The sequence below is a fragment of the Homo sapiens genome, chromosome 4, assembly GCF_000001405.40.
Source record: "Homo sapiens chromosome 4, GRCh38.p14 Primary Assembly".
In the NCBI taxonomy this organism is placed as follows: Eukaryota; Metazoa; Chordata; class Mammalia; order Primates; family Hominidae; genus Homo; species Homo sapiens.
In genome coordinates, this window is record NC_000004.12 from 141,220,390 (window position 1) to 141,243,479 (window position 23,090).

At 37.2% G+C, this 23,090-nt stretch overlaps 1 protein-coding gene across 5 annotated transcripts, besides 2 other annotated features; it reads left to right on the top strand.

Moving 5' to 3' along the window:
- The first annotated feature begins 145 nt into the window (after window positions 1-145).
- Window positions 146-14,308, top strand: ZNF330 (zinc finger protein 330). Of its 5 annotated transcripts, none has more exons than XM_017008033.2 (10): window positions 146-270; window positions 1,977-2,102; window positions 4,098-4,117; window positions 4,218-4,288; window positions 6,378-6,457; window positions 9,182-9,308; window positions 9,777-9,881; window positions 11,050-11,096; window positions 12,136-12,253; window positions 13,326-14,308. In XM_017008033.2, the coding sequence occupies exons 2-10, from the start codon at window positions 1,983-1,985 to the stop codon at window positions 13,598-13,600; spliced, it is 963 nt and encodes a 320-aa protein (XP_016863522.1). In that variant the 5' UTR covers window positions 146-270; window positions 1,977-1,982; the 3' UTR covers window positions 13,601-14,308. The 5 variants fall into 5 exon arrangements, with proteins under 5 accessions (XP_016863522.1, NP_055302.1, XP_024309754.1 ...); NM_014487.6 differs by lacking the exon at window positions 146-270 and adding an exon at window positions 506-719; XM_024453986.2 differs by lacking the exon at window positions 146-270 and adding an exon at window positions 506-688.
- Window positions 291-797: an enhancer, noted in NCBI's record as "H3K27ac hESC enhancer chr4:142141834-142142340 (GRCh37/hg19 assembly coordinates)". NCBI's record gives its function as "activates a minimal SCP1, AML or CMV promoter by ChIP-STARR-seq in naive H9 embryonic stem cells {active_cell/tissue: H9 hESC(naive)}" and the evidence as "EXISTENCE:reporter gene assay evidence [ECO:0000049][PMID:30033119]".
- Window positions 798-1,302: an enhancer, noted in NCBI's record as "H3K27ac hESC enhancer chr4:142142341-142142845 (GRCh37/hg19 assembly coordinates)". NCBI's record gives its function as "activates a minimal SCP1, AML or CMV promoter by ChIP-STARR-seq in naive H9 embryonic stem cells {active_cell/tissue: H9 hESC(naive)}" and the evidence as "EXISTENCE:reporter gene assay evidence [ECO:0000049][PMID:30033119]".
- Window positions 14,309-23,090: the final 8,782 nt, after the last annotated feature.

The following is a 23,090-nucleotide window of genomic DNA, read 5'->3' on the forward strand; positions in this document are numbered from 1 at the left end:
CAGGTTTCAGTTAAAAGCAGGCAGATTACACATTAGAGGTAGAGAATGTGGGATGATTTGTTCACAAAGGAATGGAATCCAGAGGGCATAACAGAAATAAGAGACAGGGGAGGCTGGTACGGAAGTTCATCAGGCAACTGAAGGCACAGTTTGCGCAGCAACCAAGAAAAGGTGGGATGTGAGGCACGCAAGATGTAGAGGTGGGGAAAGGTTTCCAACAGAATTCAACATGAATTTGCTGTTTGAGTCAATTGATCCAGTACCAAGTCTGTGAGTTCATTTTCCTCTTCCTTTTAGATTTCTCCTTTTTCTAAAAAAGTAAAACTGAGGGGGCCTTCCCCTGCTTTCCCTCCTTCTGCTTCCCTATTTTCCCTCGCATTCCCTTCCTTTTCTGCAGATCCTCTGCTTAGGAATGGGGCATTGGCCCCCGCAGGAGTGGGCGGGGAAGGGGCGGAGCGAACAGAGGTGGGCGGCTCCCGTCCTATGACGTCAGCCGTAAGGCGCTGCTGTCGTAAAAGGACGTCCGGTCCGTCTCCTAGTGTCCGGAATCGGCTGTCAGCCTCCCTGGCTGTTAGTACCTTCTTTCCCGGAGTCCTGGTCCACGAGTTGGATTTACTGCTGTCGCGGGTGGGCCTCACGCCATTCCCTGTCCCTCGGCCCCCTGAGTGAGTCCGGTCTCCCGGCGAAAGTGAGCGAGGTTTGCCCGGAGCGCGCACGAGGTAGGGTGTCCCGCGGGCGGGTGACGGTTGCGGGTCCCCGTTGCGGGTCCCCGAGCCGCCTGGCACCTCCGCCGCTTCTCCCCTGGACGCCCCTCCGCCCCACTGGGTCCTCCAGCTCCAGGCTGGACTCCTAAAGCCGCAGTGCCCCGTGCCTGTTTCCTCATTTGGTGACACACGCAGTGCATGCAAGAAGTTGGAGTGTTACCGGAAAAGGGCTTGAACCCGTATAAGGCTGAGAAGAAGATTCACTCTTTTGAGCGTGCAGAACAAACTGGAGGGAAAAAAAAATGAGATTTAACTTTATCAGAGGATTCAGAGGATATCTCTGAGGACGCAGAAAGTTAATCCGCATGATCACCTCGTGATTATTTTCTGAGGTTCTTTGGCCAGGGCAGCACGCCCTCTAGATTTTGTCATTTTACATATTGGAATGGTGCCTTAGTGGTCTGGGCGTTACGTTACCGAAATAACCACCTATTAAATCTGGCTATTTTTCAGTTGCTACCGTACTGCTTACCACCTGTTTTGTTTTTTTTTTAATTGAGCATTCAGTTCAGAAAACTTCAGTTTAGAAAAATCTTGTATTTCAACTAAATGATGAAAATTAAACATACTCTTAAACGTAAATTTGAACCCCGTTAAAATTACATGCTCACTGCGTGTAGAGGGAAGAGCATTTGTTAAAGTCAGAGCAACTAATACCTTAAATATCTTCAGAATGTTTTGACTTTGTAGTTAATAAATAGTGTTATTTGTTGACTGTTAGATGTTTTGTTTACATATTACATAGGAAAAATTAAACTTGTTATACTTAAGGTGTTGGCAGCGTCAGGTCATCTGAATATATAGCTCAAAAAAGTGATATAAACTGGCTAAATAATGCTCTTATTAATGATTTTTTTGTTTTTGCTAATGATACATGATTCATTTGTTTTAATGAGGTGCAGAATACTTTATCATTGGAGAAACTTTTTTCTTAGTGGGAAAAGAAGACTAGTTTGTCTTTTAGGGTAAATTTTTTTGACGTTTACATTTTTAGAATCGTTAGTGCCAATAAATGCGTTAAGGATCACCCGCTTCATTTGGAATAATATGTGCTTAACGTTTCATAAGGCTTAGAATGTGCTTAACTATCGAAAGGATAGAGTTTAACATTTAACAAGAAAAAGGACACTTTGTTATACTATTTCTTAGTTTATTAAAATAGTAAATGCAGTCAGTCAATTATATCTTTTCTGTTCTCTTGTGTCAAAATAGGGGAAAATGCCTAAAAAAAAGACTGGTGCGAGGAAGAAGGCTGAGAACCGCCGAGAACGTGAAAAACAACTAAGAGCATCAAGAAGCACTATAGATTTAGCTAAACATCCATGTAATGCCTCAATGGTATCAGCTTTTTTTGATATCAGTTGGTAGTTGGAAAAACTATATACTATTTTATCTGACGTATACCTGAATAAAATTTTAGTGAAGACAGTGTTTTTGCATATAGTTTGTTGCTGAATTTAGTATCTCTGGCACGTCTGTTGATTTCACTGAGTGGCAGTGATTGTTGTTGGATTTTATATTATTATAAAACCTAGCATATTACTTTACATACTGTTGGTGATAAAGGTAGATATTGGACAAGAATAGATAATAGAAACTTTCATCTTCCAGTTTCTTTAATGCCTTAGTCTTATTGGGTTTTCATCATATTTTCTTAGCAATTCTTTCATTTCTCTTTTCTGAACTTCCTACTTAACATCTGTTGGCTTCCCATTCTATTACCTTATCTACCTGTGCTAAGTGGGTTAGTCCTGATAATTTCTGGGCTGCTTTGAATGGTGGCTGCTTTTGAAATATGCTTTTTGAAATATGCGAAAAAGCAAACAATTAGGTCATCATTACCTCTTTCATTGACTGTAGAGTTATTCCGGTTCTCTCTATTTCCACTCCTTTCTTTGTTTTTCTTTTCCCACTGTTCCTATTTTTTCCTTCTCCTTTTGTCAAACATACATGAATTGTTTAATGTAGCTTAGTTTAGCAAACGTTTATTGTGCATCTACTCTGTGCCAGGTATTATTTCAGACACTGTGGGTAGTGATACATAGATGAATTACATGGTCTCTATTTCCAGAAGTTTATAGCTCAGTTATGTTGTATATTAGGATTTGTTTGTTTATAAATGACAGAAATCTAACTTAAATTAATCTTAGGGAAAAATAGTTTATTGAATGGATAATGGAATAACTCATATTGCTGGGAAGGGGAAGGATATACCTGGGACTCGGGGACAATTGGAACCTGGAACAACTTGTAGTTCTATCTTTTGCTTTTGTTTCTTATTCCTTATTAGTTCCATTTTTTCATATTGTCTTACTCCATTTGTTGGGTTTCATAGTTACAGGTAGCTTGCATGTCTCACATCACATATTGTGCCTCAGAGAAGGAAAGAACTCTGAAAGGCTGGACTTCACCCAGTGCCTGTCCCAGGGCTAACATTTATTGGGGTTGGTTGGGTGAGGACAGATTACATAGCGCAGATGTGACAGTGAGGCTGTCTTCTGTGTTTAAGAGTCCTTTCCAGAGAAGAGAGGTTCTGAATGACTGGCATGCCTAAATATATATAATGACAGCTAGATTTTGGAAGTGCTTCAATAAAGGTACAATGTATTTATTAGGACTAAGAGGTGATAAAGTTGGCTGTGTGTGGAAGGGGTACACTTCACAGAAGAGGTGGGATTTTCACCAGAACTTTCAACAGGTAGGAGGCACTTTTCAGGGAAAAGTGTTCGAATAAGTAAAGACATGGAGAAGAGAGAATATAAGACATATTTGGAGAATGGCTGACCATTAGTGACTTGAGTCTAAAAAGAATAGGCCAAGAAGGTTTGGAAAGTGATTAGGGGCCAGATTGTGGAGAGCTTTTAAAACCATGTTTAGGAATCTGGATTTTCTGTGAACTTTATTATTTTGTATTCTCTTTGGAACGGTGCCTTAGATAAATGCATTATTTTAAGGGTCACCCACTTCATTTGGAATAATATGTGCTTAACGTTTCATAAGGCTTAGAATGTACTTAACTATCAAAAGGATAGTTCTTGTGTTCATTCTGTGGTATTTTATTCCTTACAAACAATTGAAAAAGAAACTACCAATGTATTTAGCCTCCTTTGTGATAATGCCACTTCTTCAGGGAATCATATACCCGGAGTATCACTCTCGCATACCTTTGTTATTTTAAGCATGGGTAGGTGCTTGTATACATGGGTGGAGTTGGGGCTTTGGTGTAGTGTCACTTAAATTTTAACCTGAAAAGCAGGTTATTCTTTGTAATACAAGTAAATTTGCAGTTTTCAGTCAGCAGAAAAATTAATGTGATATTTTTATATGTTACAGGAATGTGACAAGTGTCAGAGGTAAATTTTATTTCTTTTTCTATCTACCTTTAATAAAATTGTCCCTCTGACTTTTTATCTGACATTGACCATAATTTAAAATTTTATTTTACATGACAAGGCGGCAGAAGAATAGAGCATTTTGCTACTTTTGTAATTCTGTACAGAAGTTACCAATTTGTGCACAGTGTGGTAAGTTTGTAATAATTAAGGACATATGCTTTTTATCAACTGGTAGTTCAACAATTTGAACTTGGGTGGGTTTGTTGCTATTGGTTACAGTGCTTACAATTGTTGATAATATTATGCCTTACCATTAACAAAATAACAAAACATGTTATTTTGCCTACCAAAAAACTATCAAGCCTTGGTTTTGTCTCTTTGATGTAATGCTGGAAAATAATTAAGGTACAATTTAGATACAGGTTACCAATAAGTGTTTTTAAACAGTGAAAGATCAGATTTCAGACATAACATTTGGTGATCCTGAACTTTTAGTTATACTACCTTAGTCTTGTCAGTATCTGTTTGTTTACTTATCTACATTTTGATTCCTGCTGATATTACCTGCAGTGTGTTAGACCATTGGGAATAATTTTATTCCACATTTACCTGGTACTTATTTTGTGATCAGTAGTTTTTGTGTTTGATGCTTACCATATGATTCATGAGTTTCCTCACATGTATTCCCAGGTGATTTAAATAGAGTTCTTAAGTCATGTGCCCGGTTCTTAAGTATAGGTGGAGACTTGTACCCCAAAATGATTATACAAAATAAAACTAAATGTTAGCAAGATGGGTGTTTCCCAAATAGTCTTCCACAGACTTCCTGAAATATTAATGGATATTTCTTGAAAAATATATATCGATATACATTTGAGAAATACTGCATGCATCCTCCTTTCATTCTCATCTGGGAGATTTCTATTATATATTTATATGTTAGAAGTTCTGAAGACTTGCAACAAAGAAACCCAATTAACTTTATTACTCTAGATTTACATCCCCCCCCAACTTTTGATGAACAAGTATTGCTTTTATTTATGAGATAATAATAATAATTTCAGGTAGAACAATTTGGGGTATGCTCATTTAAGTGTGTTTATATGTAATAATATTCCAGAAAGTTAGTAGTGTTTAGGGCTATATCCCTGAATATTTCTAATGTAGTTCTAGCTTTCAAAGAAGATCTTTTCAATTCCACAATTAATGAAAAAGAGAAAACTGGCCTATATGGAACACTCATATGGTAGTTTTCATAGCCTTGTTTTGCAAAAAGTAATGAATGTAGAGTGAGGAAACAGAGTTTGTGGAAGATTAATAGGTAAGTTCTTGCTAGGACTTACCCCTATTTTCAGTGTCTCTGGGCTTAAATTTTGTAGTGTTGTTAGATGGATACATTTCTCATTTACTGATTCTTAGTGTTGGACATGGAACAGTTGGGTAGCTGCTGCCTCTCATTTCCAGTTTCTCTTCCCATTTCCTACTAACTTTGTTCCTTAGGAAATCAAGATAACGGAAAATTGTTTCTTTTGTGTTCCATTTTGTGGAGTCTCAGATGGATGATTAATGTCATCATTAACTCTCACATAATATCTGATAAGCAAATTTCCTGATAGTGTTTTGAGTTGGTAATTTAATTTGCTTCTAGATCAGAGGTTTAGTGGCTGTGTGGTGATTTGTAGCTGTATCACCGTATTGTTTATTGTGCTTATTTGGGCACTATTTCAAAATTTTGTTGGGAAAATGTTTAACTGGGGGCTTCGTTGTAAATTTTTATGTTTGGATAAAATTACATTAACTCGATAAGTTACATAATCATTATTTGGTTTGGTTTGAGGTATTATTCTGTGGAAAGAAATAACTTCAAACCACAGTTTTTATTGTGAATTATAAAATGTAAAATTTGTTATAAAAAGCATTCCTTTAAAAATTGTTTTGAATAATCTGAAGATTGATAAGTTTTTAAACTGTTAAAATGATCATTAGATTACAAAGCATAACCTGCAATTTCTGATTTAGTACAAATTAGCATATATATTGTATAGTTCATTTTACAGATTTATTAGTAAATGTATAATCTGAAAAGTCTGATTCGAGTAATGAAGTCTCAGTTATATCCATTTTCTCTTTCTAGTTATGTAAGCAGTAAATACTGATTCAATTTCATTAGTTTTTAAATTATTTCCTCAGGAACTTGGGCTGGATAAAAGGAGGAATTCGTGAGTACTGGTATGTATTCCTTTGCAAGACTAACAGTGCAAATGTTTTTCTTCATTAGGGAAAACAAAGTGCATGATGAAGTCTTCAGACTGTGTCATAAAGCATGCTGGTGTATACAGTACTGGCCTTGCAATGGTGGTAAGCTTCTTATTATCTCTTAGACTAGTACGTTTTCAAGGATAAGAAAATGTCATTCTGATCAGTGGTTATTTTTTTCTAAATATCATTGCTTTGTCCCTTGTTTCAATCAATCTGTAGTTATCTGGATTATGAGTGGCATGCTTTTTGTATGATTTTCCCTTAGTACCCACTTGTTTCTAGCTGCTTCTTTCTTTCTTATTAGGGAACATACAAGGCATGGAAACTTTTCATGCTGATCTAAACAGAATTTCATTTCTCAGTGGTACCTTTTTTTTTTTAAATTTTATTATTATTATTATACTTTAAGTTTTAGGGTACATGTGCACAACATGCAGGTTTGTTACATATGTATACATGTGCCATGTTGGTGTGGTGCACCCATTAACTCGTCATTTAGCATTAGGTATATCTCCTAATGCTATCCCTCCCCCATCCCCCCACCCCACAACAGTCCCCGGTTTGTGGTGTGTGATGTTCCCCTTCCTGTGTCCATGTGTTCTCATTGTTCAGTTCCCACCTATGAGTGAGAACATGCGGTGTTTGGTTTTTTGTCCTTGCGATAGTTTGCTAAGAATGATGGATTCCAGCTTCATCCGTGTCTCTACAAAGGACATGAACTCATCATTTTTTATGGCTGTATAGTATTCCATGGTGTATATGTGCCACATTTTCTTAATCCAGTCTATCATTGTTGGACATTTGGGTTGGTTCCAAGTCTTTGCTATTGTGAATAGTGCCACAATAAACATACGTGTGCATTTGTCTTTATAGCAGCATGATTTATAATCCTTTGGGTATATACTCAGTGGTACCTTTCTAATATCTCTTAACCAGACTTCACAAAACAGTATTTAGTGTACCGAAAGCCCTGCTTAACCAACGTTTAAGCCTTTGGTTAAATAAGCAACTTAGTTCCAAACGAACCTAGGATAATAGTGTTCTTTAAAACTTTACATTTCAAAAAAGTGTATATATTTAACATACCTCTTCATTACATATAGGATTTTTTAAAGTAAATTCAGCTTTTTGAATAATAAAACCAACTGGATTATGTGATGTATTTTGCTCTTTTTCCTGAAACATGTTTTCCTTCTAAATATGAGTTAACCAGTTTTACTGTATTGCAGTATGATTTTATGTTCAAATAAAATTTTGTTCAAATTTTAATCTATGAGGAAAATGATACTATATTTATGTCAAATGGAATATTTTATTTATGGTAAATTTCCAAGAACATGTAAACTTCTATTATGAGGGAGACCTATGATATATTTCATATGTGCATATATTATAGAAGCAAGGAGCGAGAATTATCATCTTGTGAATTGCTCTTTATTTTAAGTATAGGATTGTCAAGTTATCTTTATTCAAAAACACTTTCAGTCTTCCTTGGTAGCTTAAGTTCAGCCAAATTCATTTTTTAAAATCACTGTTTTTTGAATGTGAATAATTTCTTCTTACATAAAGAAAACATTTAAGTAGAGTCATATATCTTTAGTTGTAAATTCTAGAAAAGTGATTTTCTGGATATCTTCTATTTGCCTCCCCAGATTCCCCCTGAGAATAGCAGGAGAATAAGATCTGGGTGTTTATTCCTTCATCTCACTCCGTACCAGGTTATCCTGGTTTGGTTTTATCCTTTCTCTAAGGACCACAGTTCTCCCTATATGGCCAGGTAGTCCTCTCCTGTTTGTCCTAAGAACTTCCCTGTCCTCTGCAAATTATCTCTTTAAAACTCTTCTAGATTACCTAGTTTGAGAGTACCATCTCTTTTTTGCAAGAACCCTGGCTGATCCAAGAGATATAGTTGATGATTTGCTAGCTATACTGATAACCCATTTTTGCAAGTCAAAAAACATTCTTCCTATTTGTTGTTTACTACATTTGTTTCAGAGCCTTGAATAATAGAATACTGAATTGAGATTCTGAAATCCTGGCTTTAAATCTCACCTCACCTGTAATCCAACTCGGGACTTGGATTTAGTCTTGGGCCCCATGCTTTTCCTTTATAAAGGAAAGATTGTCTGATCCTACTCTCTTAAGATTCTTTCTAGCTTTTAATATTTGGTAGGTGTCAATGTTTTATTGAAACATATTGTTATTGTCTTTTCTTGATATAGAATTGGAGAATCTTACCCTGTATTTTAGTTCCATATATTTTACTTCAAATTTTTTCCACAAAGAAATGTAATTATTATTAAAACATAAGTTGTCATAAGAGAAAAAAAGAAGCTGGCAGAAGTTTCGTATTTCTCAGTAATTCTAGAAAAGCTATGCAAATATATAGATAAGAAGGTATTTTAAAAATCAGAAATGGTAGTATTTAAAAATTCAGTGTAGTTACAGGAATTATTATAGACAAGAAAGCTTAAGCTGTTGGTTCCTTCAAACTTTATTTGAATTAAATTCATTTTGAGGAAAATACTTCCATCTCTTTGGCTTAATTAAATAATATTAGGATAAGTGTACAGTTTACCTTTTTTTCTTTTGATATGTAACTGAGTTTTGTATATTGTGGATAGCTGTTAAGAAGTTGTTTTTCAGAGAACCCTTTTTATTTTTGGCTTAGAGTGAGTAGTAAAATGTTTAAATGAAGCGGCCTACTATCATTGAGGGTTGATAAATTGCTAAATGTATACAGTTTTGATGGTTGCCGTGGTTAAAGAATGGTTGCAGGTGGTCAGGTGATAATGATTATGTATTCTTGTTCCTTGGTTACAGGGTGCAATATGTGACTTCTGTGAAGCTTGGGTTTGCCATGGTAGGAAATGTCTCAGTACACATGCTTGTGCCTGCCCTCTTACCGATGCTGAGTGTGTTGAATGTGAACGAGGCGTGTGGGACCATGGTGAGTCATTAGACACAAGTAATGAGCTTTGTTATAGGTGAATGTTGACTTTGAAACATTTTGAATGCTGTTTTTGAGATTTTTTTCAGGATACTGTCAATCCTAACTACTGGTACTGTTTTGATTATCAGTGTAGTTAGAGAAGGGATCTATACTGTCTGTTATTGTCAATGCTAGTATTGTTTACCCAAACATGGAGGGAAGTTGTGGTGGAGCAGGTAGTCTCTTTGAGCATTGTGAGTGTTATATGGGTAGCTAGTGGAGAGTAAGAGCCCCCTTTTCTCAGTTTCAGTTCAGTTTCAAGGACTTCAACAGTTTTCATTTTAGCTTTTATCAGAATAAAAATGGCTGAACAATTTTGGTGTATCTCCAAAGTAACTTACCATCTCTTCTAAGCAGTATTATAGATATGAGTTTTTTTAAATTAAAGTTTATCTTAATTACATTTGTGTTTTTTTAATCCAATAGGAGGCAGAATATTCAGTTGTTCTTTTTGCCATAACTTTCTCTGTGAAGATGATCAATTTGAGCATCAAGCCAGCTGCCAGGTTTTAGAGGCAGAAACATTTAAATGTAAGTTTTTAAGTATTAGATGTTCTTTATACCCAAGATTCTGAATAGTATAATTATTAATCTTAATGAAAAAGGAATCAAGTTTTTTTATACTGCTTCTCATGAACTGTAATTTAACTCAGTCTTTATTTTCTGTTTCTAGAAAACAGAACAGTCAGAATATAGTTGTAAATTTTTCAGCAGGGATGCCAGTGGCATATTGGTTGGGCCAGTTTTTCATTTTGTAGGCTTGATTTGATCAGGCATTGCAGGACTTACACCTTTCGTGGTTCAGAGTACCACATGTCATTTTTACCTTCAAATTATTATAAAAAACCAAACCTCACCCTTCCTTCCCATTTCCAAATGCCCTCCCGTAAGAGATACCACCCTGTTTGTTTCTGCTAGTTGGTTCTAGTGATTCTTAGACAGGACTGTATATCAAAAATACCTGTGGAGGTTTTAAAAATAATGTAGATGTCCAGGCCTCATCCCTGGAGATTCTATCTTTTAAGTCCGTGGTGGGTGCCAGGCACCTGTATTTAACCTATACACAAAATTCTCACGTATTTTCCAGTTGAGAGCCAGCATTGCTGACTGGGTAATAGTATCATCTTTACACATAGTTTTTTTCTTGGAAGGTTCATTGAAATGAGACACCATATAAAACAATAGCATGTGGTACTTGGCATTTAAAAAGCCCTTTTTAAATAGTAGTTACTATTATAGGAAAAAGACCGAAATTCCCCAGGTATTCTCTTCCTTTAATTTGGTTCTTGTTCTGGTATGAAATCCTAATTATTATACTTATTTATAAATTTAAAGTAGATAAGTCATCTCTGTGATATACATACAACATACATACTACACACACATAGACACACAATGTGTATGCATGTGTATATAATTCTTGCAATATTTATATATAAAATTCTCAGATTAAAAGAGCATCTCGAAGTATATAGCATTTTTGAGCCTTTCGTCGCCTTTTGCAGAATGTATAATAATAAATTTAATTATTTTATTTGCAGCATGGGAGCTTTGTGTGTTTTATAGCATTTGAACCCAAAAGACAGGCAGCTGTCTATAAGGCTATATTCCATTGCAAGCTTTTAGTGATTTGATAAAAGACAAAAGAAAATTCTAAGAACCAAATAACGGGATTTTAAAATTAATCTATTTCCCACAGGTGTTTCATGCAATCGGCTTGGTCAGCACTCATGTCTCCGTTGTAAGGTATACCAATGCGTTTTTTTCTTTTTAGATTTTGTTTTTAATCTCTATACCCCTCCACCAGTCCTTGGCTTATATGCAGCTATAATTAATTTATAAGGGACCTTAAAATTATGTAGTCTAATTCTTTTATTTTTGAGACTGTGGAATTGAAGTTGAGAAAGCTTACATGACTTTCCAATGGTCATCCAGTCACCTTTTAGTAGAGCTGTGGCTAGTGCACATTTCTCTGGAATCCTGGCTCTGTGTTTTTAGTGGAGAACATTCTGACCAAGATGATGAGAGTCTATTTTAATTAATGTCAAAATATACCTGCTTAGAAGAGTTTGGGTAAAGATTTCCAAATTTTTCTGTGTCCTTAGGCCTAGTCTCTAGCATTCGTTCGTCAAAGATTACTAAACAGATGCAGCCAATGCCCTTCCTCTCAGAAGCGTTTCTCTAGTTCTTATATTCCTAACCCTATGTCTTATTTATCTTCCAACTCTGTTCTAGTTTTACCAAATGGTGTTCAGGCATTATCTGTGTTTTCTTTGTCTGGAATACTTTTCCATCTTGGCTTACCCTATTGCCCTCCCATTCTTCATATGGCTATTAAGACTTCGTGTCTCTAAGATGCCTTTCCCAAATCCCATGTCTGCTTTAGTGCCCTTCCCTCTGCACTTCCCGTTCAGTGCTTAGTGTCTTGTAATTGCCTTTTCACTGTCTCCATCCCTAGTTAGACCATACACTGTGTGAGAGTAAATAGGCTGTTCACCATTATTTCATTTCATCAGGGACCTTATGAGTACTGAAATATTTGTGAACAGCTAAATGTACTTACATGTCATACTCAATATAGTCTGCCTTTTGTTAGATCATTGTTCAGAAGGGTCCTGACAAAAACCATTTCTGTTAAGAAAATGAAATGAGAAGTGTGACTGCTCCCAACAAAATTGTTAATCTCACTGCCTTAATAAAGCTATATCTTTAAAACACTGAATACTGTCTTTTTGTATATTTTTACATTTTTATTTATTTACTTTATTTTGCTTCTCCTATACAGGCTTGTTTCTGTGATGATCATACAAGGAGCAAAGTGTTTAAGCAAGAAAAAGGAAAACAGCCTCCTTGTCCTAAATGTGGGCATGAAACTCAGGAGACTAAGGACCTTAGCATGTCAAGTAAGGCCCTTAAGATACTAAGGAAGTGATTTTTGCTTTCATACTTAGACAAAGTTTATCTTTTTTTTTTTTGGTCTATTTTTCTTATTGCCTCTTCTTATTTGAAAAGATGAATGTGTTCTTTTAAGCAAGTGGAATTTTACAGCTTAGGAAAATATGTGGGTAAAGTTTTTCAGTTTTACTTAAATAGACCAATATTCATTTTGATATTTGGTATTTGCCTTAGTTAATGACAGCAAATACTGAAATTTAAGATAAAGAGTGATTTTTTTTTATTTTTGTTGAGTCTTCCTTGTTAAATAGTTGAGTAGCTATAATTCCTTAATATTAAAGTGGTGGTAATTTTAAGTACCTAGAAGTCAAATTCACTCTGAAGCTATCTTAGGTGTGTGATATTTGAGCACCTATGTTTATTTATGTAATATAGCACTACTATAGGAAATTATTTTATGGTTTTTATGTAACTTTTTTTGTGAAGGAATAAGCATGCTTATAGTAATGCAGCTCGCAATTTTGTTAAAGAGAAGTTTGACTCTTAACCAAACATATCAGAATGGAACCATAATTCTAAGTGACTGACTGCTTTGTTTAATCACAGATGTAGTTGCATGGTGAGGTGAGACTGATGATTTTGCTGATCTTCTGCACTGAACTTTGTGTCACTATTAAGGCAGAAGAAATGACAGGCTTTGTTTTTAAGGGCATCTGCATTGTAAAATAGCTGTCTTAAGAAAAATGTACTGATACGAAATCAGCTGTATTCTGTGATTTATGTGATTTGAAAATAAACTGTCAGTGGCCAAACGGAAGGTATTTTTGTTTTAAACATGCCTTAATACCTTTGGAGTGGTCTGTTGGTCTAATTTGTTTTCTAGATTTAATGAAATTACACTGTAATTTTTATTTTTTATGGTGTTGTATATAGACTCAGGTGAAAAAATTAGGAAAATGTGACCTATTTTTTCATTTGGGATTGAAGCAGCCAATGAAATCCATGAAATTTTATAGAGGAAGATGAGAATGTAGAGAACTGGAACTAACAAAATGCCTTGTACTTGTCTGTCTTCTATAGCACGCTCCCTGAAATTTGGCAGGCAGACTGGAGGTGAAGAGGGAGATGGAGCTTCTGGGTATGATGCTTATTGGAAGAACCTTTCATCTGATAAGTATGGTGATACCAGCTACCACGATGAGGAGGAGGATGAGTATGAAGCAGAGGATGATGAAGAGGAAGAAGATGAAGGCAGAAAGGATTCAGATACTGAGTCATCAGATTTGTTTACTAATTTGAATTTAGGAAGGACCTATGCTAGTGGCTATGCTCACTATGAGGAACAAGAGAACTAGGGGAGCTGCTCTGGTGGCCGTGTGTGAGAGGAGCAGGAGTGAGTGTGTGTGCTTGATGAATTGTGTGTGGTTGTTCAAAAGTACCTTAGCCACTTAGCCTTGTGCAGAAGACTAGTTACACTTAATGGGCCAAGCAATAGGGTGTAGCGTTTTTATAGAACTGATAATCAGGCTTATGGCATAAGAAAAATGAGTTTCAAATTTAAGATGTTTATTGATCGAAGCAATTGAAGTATCATGGATTGGATTGTTACTGATTTCAGTAAAGTATGTTTTGCCAATTAGATACATATATACAAGATAAAGGAATAGGATGGTAATATATTTGTTTGAAATTAAATTACTGTTTTTATTAAAAAATACTGCTTCATTGGGCTGATTTTGTAAAATGTAATGAGTAAAATGAATTACTGTATTTTTCCTTTTATGTCCACAGAATGAGAGTCATATGTTGTTATATTCTAAATTTTCATTAAATATTCATGTCACCTTGAGTTGTCATGATAAGTATGTTTTAGTATTTGACTTATTCTTCTCTTTCTTCACAATGTATGTCCTCAGTGGTACCTATTATTGATGCCTTAAATGTATTGATAAGGTGACTAGTTAGCCATTTTTCAGAGATACAGTATCAGAAATAGTATTATTACAGAAGCTTTACCCAGGACATTTTATTTCTCTTTGAATAAATCTATTATTTCACTTAAATACTTTTGACATTATATTTAATTTTTTGTTCTGTATTTTCAGTTTGTTTTGGAAAGCATTCTAATTTTTTTACAAACTGCTTCAGTTTTCACACATATGGAAATAGGTAATAGAGACTGTGTGGTATACACTTAAAGATAAGCAGCCCAGACCCCATCATTGATAGGTGGAGGACAGTCCTGTCACAAGTCCCAGTTGTTACAACTTAACACTGGCATTTAATAGGGATTGGGTAGTTGTACAAGGAGAGACAATATCTGATTGCCTCACATTTTAGATGTATGGAGAAAATTGTAGCTATGAGGATAACAGGGTTGAATGGCCATTGTTAAGCCATTTTTGTTCTATAGAAGCATACTTAACAGCCAAGGACAATAACAGGCAATGGAAAGCCAGGTGTCAAAGTTAGAGGGCCTCTGGTGGCATGTGAAAAAGCTTTTCACCTTTTGCAGTAGGACGGCTTGAAAAAACTGAGGAGCAAGCCCGAGACTTAATAGTTTCAAAGGATAAAATTTAAAGACAGTTGCCAGCCAAGGCAAGTCTATTATGCCAGCATCGGCAAACTGCTTGGGAAAACCTGTGACCCTGACAAATTAGATGGAGACATCTGAATCGATGGTGCTGGAGATTTTTACTCCCCAGACTCCTGCATTTCTGAGTTTGCAGTCATAGCCCACCCCTCCATGTTAAGGGCAAGCACTCCCCACTTCATTCTCAGGCTGGATGACAATGCAGAGGCTTCTTTCCTCGGGAAACATGCTCTCTTCAAGACTTGCCCTATCTCTAGGCCATTATAGTTAGTATCTCCAGGCCTAAAATTAGGGTTAAGTGACGATAAAGTTAAGCAAAACTCAGTTGAGGTGCTGGAACTGAAGTGGGAGGAAACAAGACTATGCCCCAAAAGAACTGCAAGAATTACGAAGAGTTGGAGGAATATGCTTGAGATTGGAATCAGTGCTTAAGAGGGTCAAAACATAAAATTAGGGAGGAGTTTGATGGCAGCCCTGACACTGGATCTTTGGATTGCTAAGAGTTAAATTAGAGGGTTTTAATAACCTGGCTAGGATCCTGTGAGATGGTGCGAACTCATTACCAGGATGGCTTCTTGAAATATGGAAAAAGTAATGGTCCTTTCTGAGCAAAGTCGAAACACTGGGATTACTGTGACATGGTGGAAGAATGGATTTAAATGGTTAAGGGAATTGGGTATGCTGGAATGGATTGGAAGATGAGATGATTATGTTCCATGGGAAGGCTCAGTGGACACACCATTTAACAGTGCCATAGAAATGTGCACTGATGATGGGGTATAAGCATCTCTAAAAACGTGTGGTAGCTCATGGTAGGCCATACAGACAGTAGGAAAAGAAAACAGAGTTCAGCTTGCTGATGGCAATGTATGACAAGATTCTGAAAAATAGTGGCTAAAGTGGCAGTGCCCAACTGCCAAAAGTCAGGGGGTTACAGTTAATGAGAAAGTGAGAGTGGTAGTCAAGGGGTCCTAACCTGCAAAGAGTTATGGAGAAGGCTAATGTAACACAGCACTTTAGGGACAAAACAAATGGGTAGCCAACAAGAATACTACTCAGTTTTTCCCATTAGATAAAATTAAGGATGGATTACATGGAAGCTAATGGTAGTCACCCCAATAAAAATAAAGCATCCGTTGCTCAGTTTCTGGACCTGAGTCACTTTTCAGACCTGGAGCCCAGACTGAAGAGGTGGCTGGGTCCCAGGAGGAAAGACAGGACACCATGGCATTTGTACAAGGTAATGATTCCTTTTGGTGTTAACTCAAAGGGACCCACAGCCATTTGCTCTGGTAATTCTAAGCTTAGGAAAGGGGAAATATAAGGGATTTCAAGGATTGTTGAACATAGAATCTGAATTGACATTGATATCCAGATACTCAGTGTCCCTGTTGTTTCTTTGTAGGGGGTGAGGGAGGAGTTGGGTTATACCAGGAGTCCTGGGCAAGTTTAAGCTTACAGTGGTTTCACAGCATGTGTGGAGGGCCAAGTGAAGCCTCTGACACTGCCTACCCTTGTATCTTCTCACTTCAGGCAGATAGTAATACACAATAGTATCACTTGGCAGGACGCAGTACCACCTTAGGGATCTAAAAGATGCAGAGATGATCGTCTCATCACATCTGTTAATTCACCATTTTGGCCCCTGCAGAAACTTTATGGATCCTAGAAGATGGCTACAGACAAGCTCAATGAAGTAATATCCTTGATTGCAACTTCTATGCTAGATGTGATATCTTTGTTAGAGCAGATACACGTGACCCAAGTGTATGGAATATCATCTTGGTTCATGCAAATGTATTCTCTTTCAATAAGAGAAGGGAATCAGAAACAATTTGCATTTACACAGAATGGGCAACAATATATAATTACAGTTTTGTAAACTATGCCACTTTATCCTAAAGAACATAGATCTGTTACAATGACTATGTTGAGGCTGGATGAACAAGTGGCTAGAACATTGAGAACTTGGTAGGAGACGTGTTCCAGAGGGAGGAGATAAATTTTACGAACTTTCAGTGGATAAACCTTATAAATTTTTTGCCATACTCATAAATTTTTCAGGGTTCCAATGGTGAGGGACAGTTTGGTGCATCAGCTCTAAAGTATAAAGCAAATGACTACATGCATTCTCTTACTCTGAGGAAGGAAGCACAATGCCTGGTGAGCCATCCTGAGTTCCGGAGGCAGCATATGTCACACCTGAGGATAGTGTCCTGGCCAGTGTAACAGTTGATGCAAAAGGCTGCCTGTTTTAAGTGGAGCCCCCAGCAGGAAAGAGTTCTGCAGCTGGTCTAGGTTGCAGTGGAAGTAGCCCTGCTTTCTGGGCCATAGAGCAGATGCTATTATATTGGAGATATTAGTGATGAGATAAGTTGTGTTGTAGCAAGCCGCAGTAGGAGAGTCACAATGCTCATCTCTGGGTTATGGAGGAAGCTTACGCCATCTGCATTTAGAGATTCATATACTCCCAGAGGCAGACAGAATGGTTTCCAACTTACCAAGGCCTATCTAGTTACCACCACTGCCAAATGTCACCTGTCAGCAGCAGGGGCAACTGCTGCACCCTTGATGGGGTATCATCACTTTGGGAGACAAATCAGAGCGGCCACCCCAGAAAGGCTAGTGGTTCATTATCAGTGGAATAGATCCACATTCTTGAAATGGGCTTACCTTTCCTTCCTGCAGGGCCTCATCCAGCATTGGTACCTGGGGGCTTATGGAATGTTTGATTCACTGGCATGAAATCCCACATAATACGTGTCAGGCCATGGAATCATCTTAAAAGTAAAGAAGGTTGCAGTAATAGGCCTGTGACCATGGGATTCACTGTATCCTATAGTGCACCACCCAGAAACTTCCTCCCTGATGATGTGGTGCAGTGGTGTGCTGAAAACACACTGAAGCAGCAGTTCAGAGGCAATACTCTATAAATTTCATACCATCCTTCAAGTTACAGATATGCATTGACTCACAGGTATTTCTATTCCAATGTGTTTCCAATAGATAAAATGCATGTGTGGTAGGTTGAATAGTGTCACCCCAAAAGTCATGTTCTTCTGGAATGTCAGAATGTGACCTTATTTGGAAGTATGGTCTCTGCAGATGTAATTAGCTAAGATGTAGTCACGCTGGGTTAGGGTAGGCTCATATCCAAAGATGATGAGAGGACACACAAGACACACAAGGAAAAAAGCCATAAGAAGATGGAGTCAGAGATTGGCATGATTCATCTACAAGCCAAGGAATGCTAAGCATTGCCCGCAACCACCAGAAGTGAGAAGAGAAGCATAGAACAGATTATCCCTCAGACCCTCTAATAGTGATAAACCCTGCCAACACCTTGATATTGAACGTCTGGCCTCCTGAATGGTGAGAGAATACATTTTCTGTTGTTTTAAGTCATCCAGTTTGTGATAATTTGTTATAGCAACCCTAGGAAGCTAATATGCCATGGGAATTAGGGGTGGAAGCAGGAGTTGCCGTCACTTCCAGTGATTCACTGGGGAACATTATGCTTCCCATCTCTACACTCCTGGGTTCTGAATGACTAGAATTCTATGTCCTCAGAGGGGATACCTTTCTTCAGGGGACCCAATAAGTGCCACCATTGGATTATAAACTATGTTTGCCACCTTGGTATTTGTGACTTTTTATGTCTAGGGACTAAAAGCCAAGAAGAGAAATCACTGTCTTGGCAGAGATATATACCTTTCTTCATCAGAAGGAGGTAGGGCTGCTCTTACATGATGGGGATAGGGAGGATTATAAGTGGAATCTAGGCAACTCACTTGAGTTTTTTAGGTGCTCCTTTGCCCACTTGTGGTGGTAAATGAACATATATGGACATAGCCAACAGCCCCAGGCTATGGAGGGCATAATGACTAGATGCTTCCGGATGAGGGTTTGGGTCACGCCACCAGATAATTACCAAGACTAGCAGAGGTAGTAGTTGTCAGGTAAGTTTAGGACCTGCCCCAGCTTCAGAGAGCTGCCTTGGCTGAAATCAAATCCTTCCCAGAGCAGAGCATGCATCTGGTGACCAAGTGACTGGTCTGGCTAATTTAGCTCAACACGGCCCATCATGACAAATAGCTATGAAGTTACTATCCCTATACAGAATCTAATAGCTGACACTTAAGAATATGGGGGTATATACGCTTCTTCCTGTGCATTTTGGTCATGGTTTGGCAAACTCCTTGTTGGAATATTGTAATGATGTATGTAAGGTTGACCTTTATAAGTCACCTACAAGCTTCTGCTCATGCAAAATATATTAGTCCATTTTTGAAAGTGAATAGACCATATAGCATGCTCACCTGTGCTTTAGAGAATGACTGGTTACTTATTTGCCTAATGGGAATAATTCAAAGAATGAAGCTTAATATATTAAGCCTTAATAGTATTTTGTGGAACCAGACATAGCACAATGCTAAATCAGGCATATGGAAGCATTTTAAATAAGAAATACAATGTAGATGGAGGCAAGAGCTTTTTTTTTTTTTCTTTTTTGAGATGGAGTCCCAGTCTGTTGCCCAAGCTGGAGTGTAGTGGCCTGAACTTGGCTCACTGAAACCTCCGCCTCCGGGGGTCAAGTGATTCTCCTGCCTTAGCCTCCCAAGCAGCTGGGATTACAGGCATGCACCACCACGCCTGGCTAACTTTTATATTTTTAGTAGAGACGGGGTTTCACCATTTTGGCCAGGCTGGTCCAGGACTCCTGACCTGAGGTGATTTGCCCACTTTGACCTCCCAAAGTGCTGTGATTACAGGCATGAGCCACCATGCCTGGCCTGGGAATTTTTGATAAAGAGCTTTGGTGGGAAAGCAAAATAATATGCTAACTGCAATTTGCTAATTTGTATAACTCAGTTTAGCCACTAAACAGCAGCACTTTTACATTAAATTCAGGTAAAAATTCAGTTAGCACTTGCTACATACCTGTCATCAAAATACTAGAATACTAGGATAGATGAAAGATTTAAAGGTAAATACAGTATTATGTAAGCCATTAAAGCTTAAATTTTATTTGAGAAAATAAGATGCAATACAAGGTTAATAGTAGCTAACATTTGCTATGTGTTCTCTGTACTGCCCAAGCTGCTTTACCTGCATAGGCACTTTGAATTCTCACAACAGAGGTACGGTACAGTATTTAGCTCCCTAAGCAAGCCAGGCCAGTCTCCTCACCCCACTCTGTCTAGAGCTGTTCTAGAAGCAAACTGCCTGTGCTCCTCCTGTGGTCATGGAACCAGAGCACTGTTGCTGCTGTTGCTGTCACTACAAACTAAAGGATCCGCTGCACCAGTGGAGACCACTGCCTCTTGTCACTTGTGGGTACAACCTGACCGCATCTCTGGTCACATGTCCTGGGGCTTTTTTATTGCCACTGAGGTATGACATACAGTTGGATTTGCTTTGGGTCCACTTTTGTGTAATGGAGAAGTGCAGGCATAGTAAAGCCTCATGGGAGTGACCTCTAACTAATGGGAAACAGAAATTAGTGGATAAACTTATTCCCTCTTCTCCCCTTTCACAGTAACTTCTAATGTTCTCTCTGAAGGCATCCTGTGAAATCACGAAATTGGCTTGTCCCAGACTCTGGCCATACAGGAACCTACCCTGTGAGGTTTCTCTCCCCTCTTCACCACTTTGTTTCTCTTTCACTTACTCCTGCTTCTGTGGGACTGCACATTTAGTATTTTCTGAAGAAACGGGGCTAATGCAGGTGGAAGTTACTAATACCAGACTGAATGTGTGCTCAAGAAAAGTACAAAGAAAATGTAGAATGCAGAAAGGTAGAAATAAAAACTGGGGTCACTGTGGAAGGATTTGAGGATATTCTAGGCTGGACACCGAGGGCTCCCGCCTGTAATCCCAGCACTTTGGGAAGTCAAGGCAGGTGGATCACCTGAGCTCAGGAATTCGAGACCAGCCTGGCCAACATGGCAAAACCCCATTTCTACTAAAAATACAAAAATTAGCCAGGCATGGTGGTGGGCTCTTGTAATCCCAGCTACTCTGGAGGCTGAGGCAGGAGAATTGCTTGAATCCAGGAGTCAGAGGTTTCAGTGAGCCAAGATCGCGCCACTGCACTCCAACCTGGGTGACAGAGAGAGACAAGAAAAAAAAAATGATATTCTACATGGGGAGGAACTTGCTATGTATGAACCACACTAAACAAAGGAAACATTTTTTCAAATAAACAAACCTAGAATGTGTTCTTTAAATCAATAAATAATCTTGAAGGTGATTTATATTTTTTGATGAAATTTATGTTATTCAATATTTTCTTTAGAAGCTATTTGACTTTTGTAGGCATACCGAAATTTTGGTTCAAAATGGATTTTACTTTGTTAGCTCAGCATCACTGGCTCCAAACGATTCCTAGCTTTCCTACTTAAATGTAGGAATGTTTGAAAAATCAGGATTTATTACATTTTGAAGATACATGTGTGTAATTCTAAAAGAATACTTTTCAAAAGTACTCGCAGAACCTTTAGAATAAATTAATCATTTTCCCAACTGATTTCAAAGGAGCAGTATATATTTTCAATATAAAATTACTGATATGTTTGCATGTATTTTACTGATTCATTTTTAATTTTGGGATCAAATACAGCTTCAAGTTCTGAGTTTATCATTTCTTAAATATTGAGATCTTTTCCTAAGTTTCCTCATCTATAAGGAGAGGGTAATATCTCAGAAGGCTATTTTGATGATTAAATTAGATAAGTGCGTCTGAATTCTTTAGCACTATTTTAGGCATAATACATCATAGCTCATAGTTAAATGTCTGATAGGGCAGAAACTTAGAACTTAACCAATAAGTCAGCAAAAATCATGCTATGCTATGGGTGTCCGTGTGTGAGGGTAATGATCTTAGCCTAAGATGGTACTGTTATTTTAATACATGTGGAAATTTGGCCAGTGTGTTTGTGGTGGTGGTTTTACAAGAGAGGAATGGTTTGAATTTATCTCTCTGTATATATGCTTTGGCTGCCAGACAGCTCAATTATTATAGCTTCCTGTAGTCTATGCTGTCTACTGAAATTATTATCCCTGGCCTTCACTCTTTTTTTAATAGCTATATTGAGGTATAATTGATGTATTCAATGTACAATTTGACAAGTTTTGATATATGTATATATCCATGAAATCATCACCACAATAAACATCACTCCAAAAATTTTCTTTTGCAATCCCTCTCTCCAGTCTCTTCTCTCAACTCCCATCTACTCTGGACCCAGGCAACAATTAATCTGTTTCTTGTCACTACAAATTAGTTTGTATTTCTAGAATTTTATATTAACAGAATCATGCAGTATGTACTCATTATTGTTTTGGATTTTTTTTTTTTTAACTGAGCTTAATTATTTTGAGATTTACCCATGTAGTTCGTTCCCTTTTTTGCTGAGTGGCATTCCATTGTATAGATATACCACAAGTTGTTTATCCATTTGCTTGTTTCTTGACATTTGGGTTGTTTCCAGTTTTTGGCTATTACAAATAAAACTACTGTTTATATTCACATACAAGTTTTGGTATTAATATATGCTTTCATTTCTTTAGGTTGAATATATAGGTGTGGAAAGGCTAGAACATATTTTAAAAAACTGCCAAACTGTTTTATAAGATGACTGTATCTTGTTACATTTCCAGCCAACTTCTCTTTATTCTTGCCAGCACATGGTATACGATCTTTTTAATTTTAGCTCTAATGGGTGTGCTATTAGGCAATAAACATTTAGGATTGTTATATTATGATTGAGCCTTTAATCATTATGAAATAACTTCCTCACCCTGATCCTCAATAATATTCTTTGTTCTGAAATTTATTTTATCGGATATTTTTATAGCCACTCCAGCTATCTTTTGATTAGTTTAAATGTGGTTTATATTTTTCTAGCCTTTTACTTTTAATCGTTCGTGCCTATATACTCAAAGTAAGTTTCTTATAGGCAGCGTGTAGTTAGGCCTTGCATTTTTATCCAATCTGACAATCTGTCTTCTAATTGGAGTGTTTGGGTCATTTACATTTAATATGATTATCTATAGTTTGGCTTATAGTTATCATCCTGCTATTGTTTTCTGTTTGTCCCATATTGTCTGTGTTTCCTATATTCTCCTCTTTTTTAAAAAAATTTGTTTGGATTAACTAAATTTTTTTATGATTTCATGTTATATCCTTGGTTGGCCTATAAGCTATAGTTCGTTGTTTTATTGTTTTAGTGGTTGCTTTAGAGTTTATA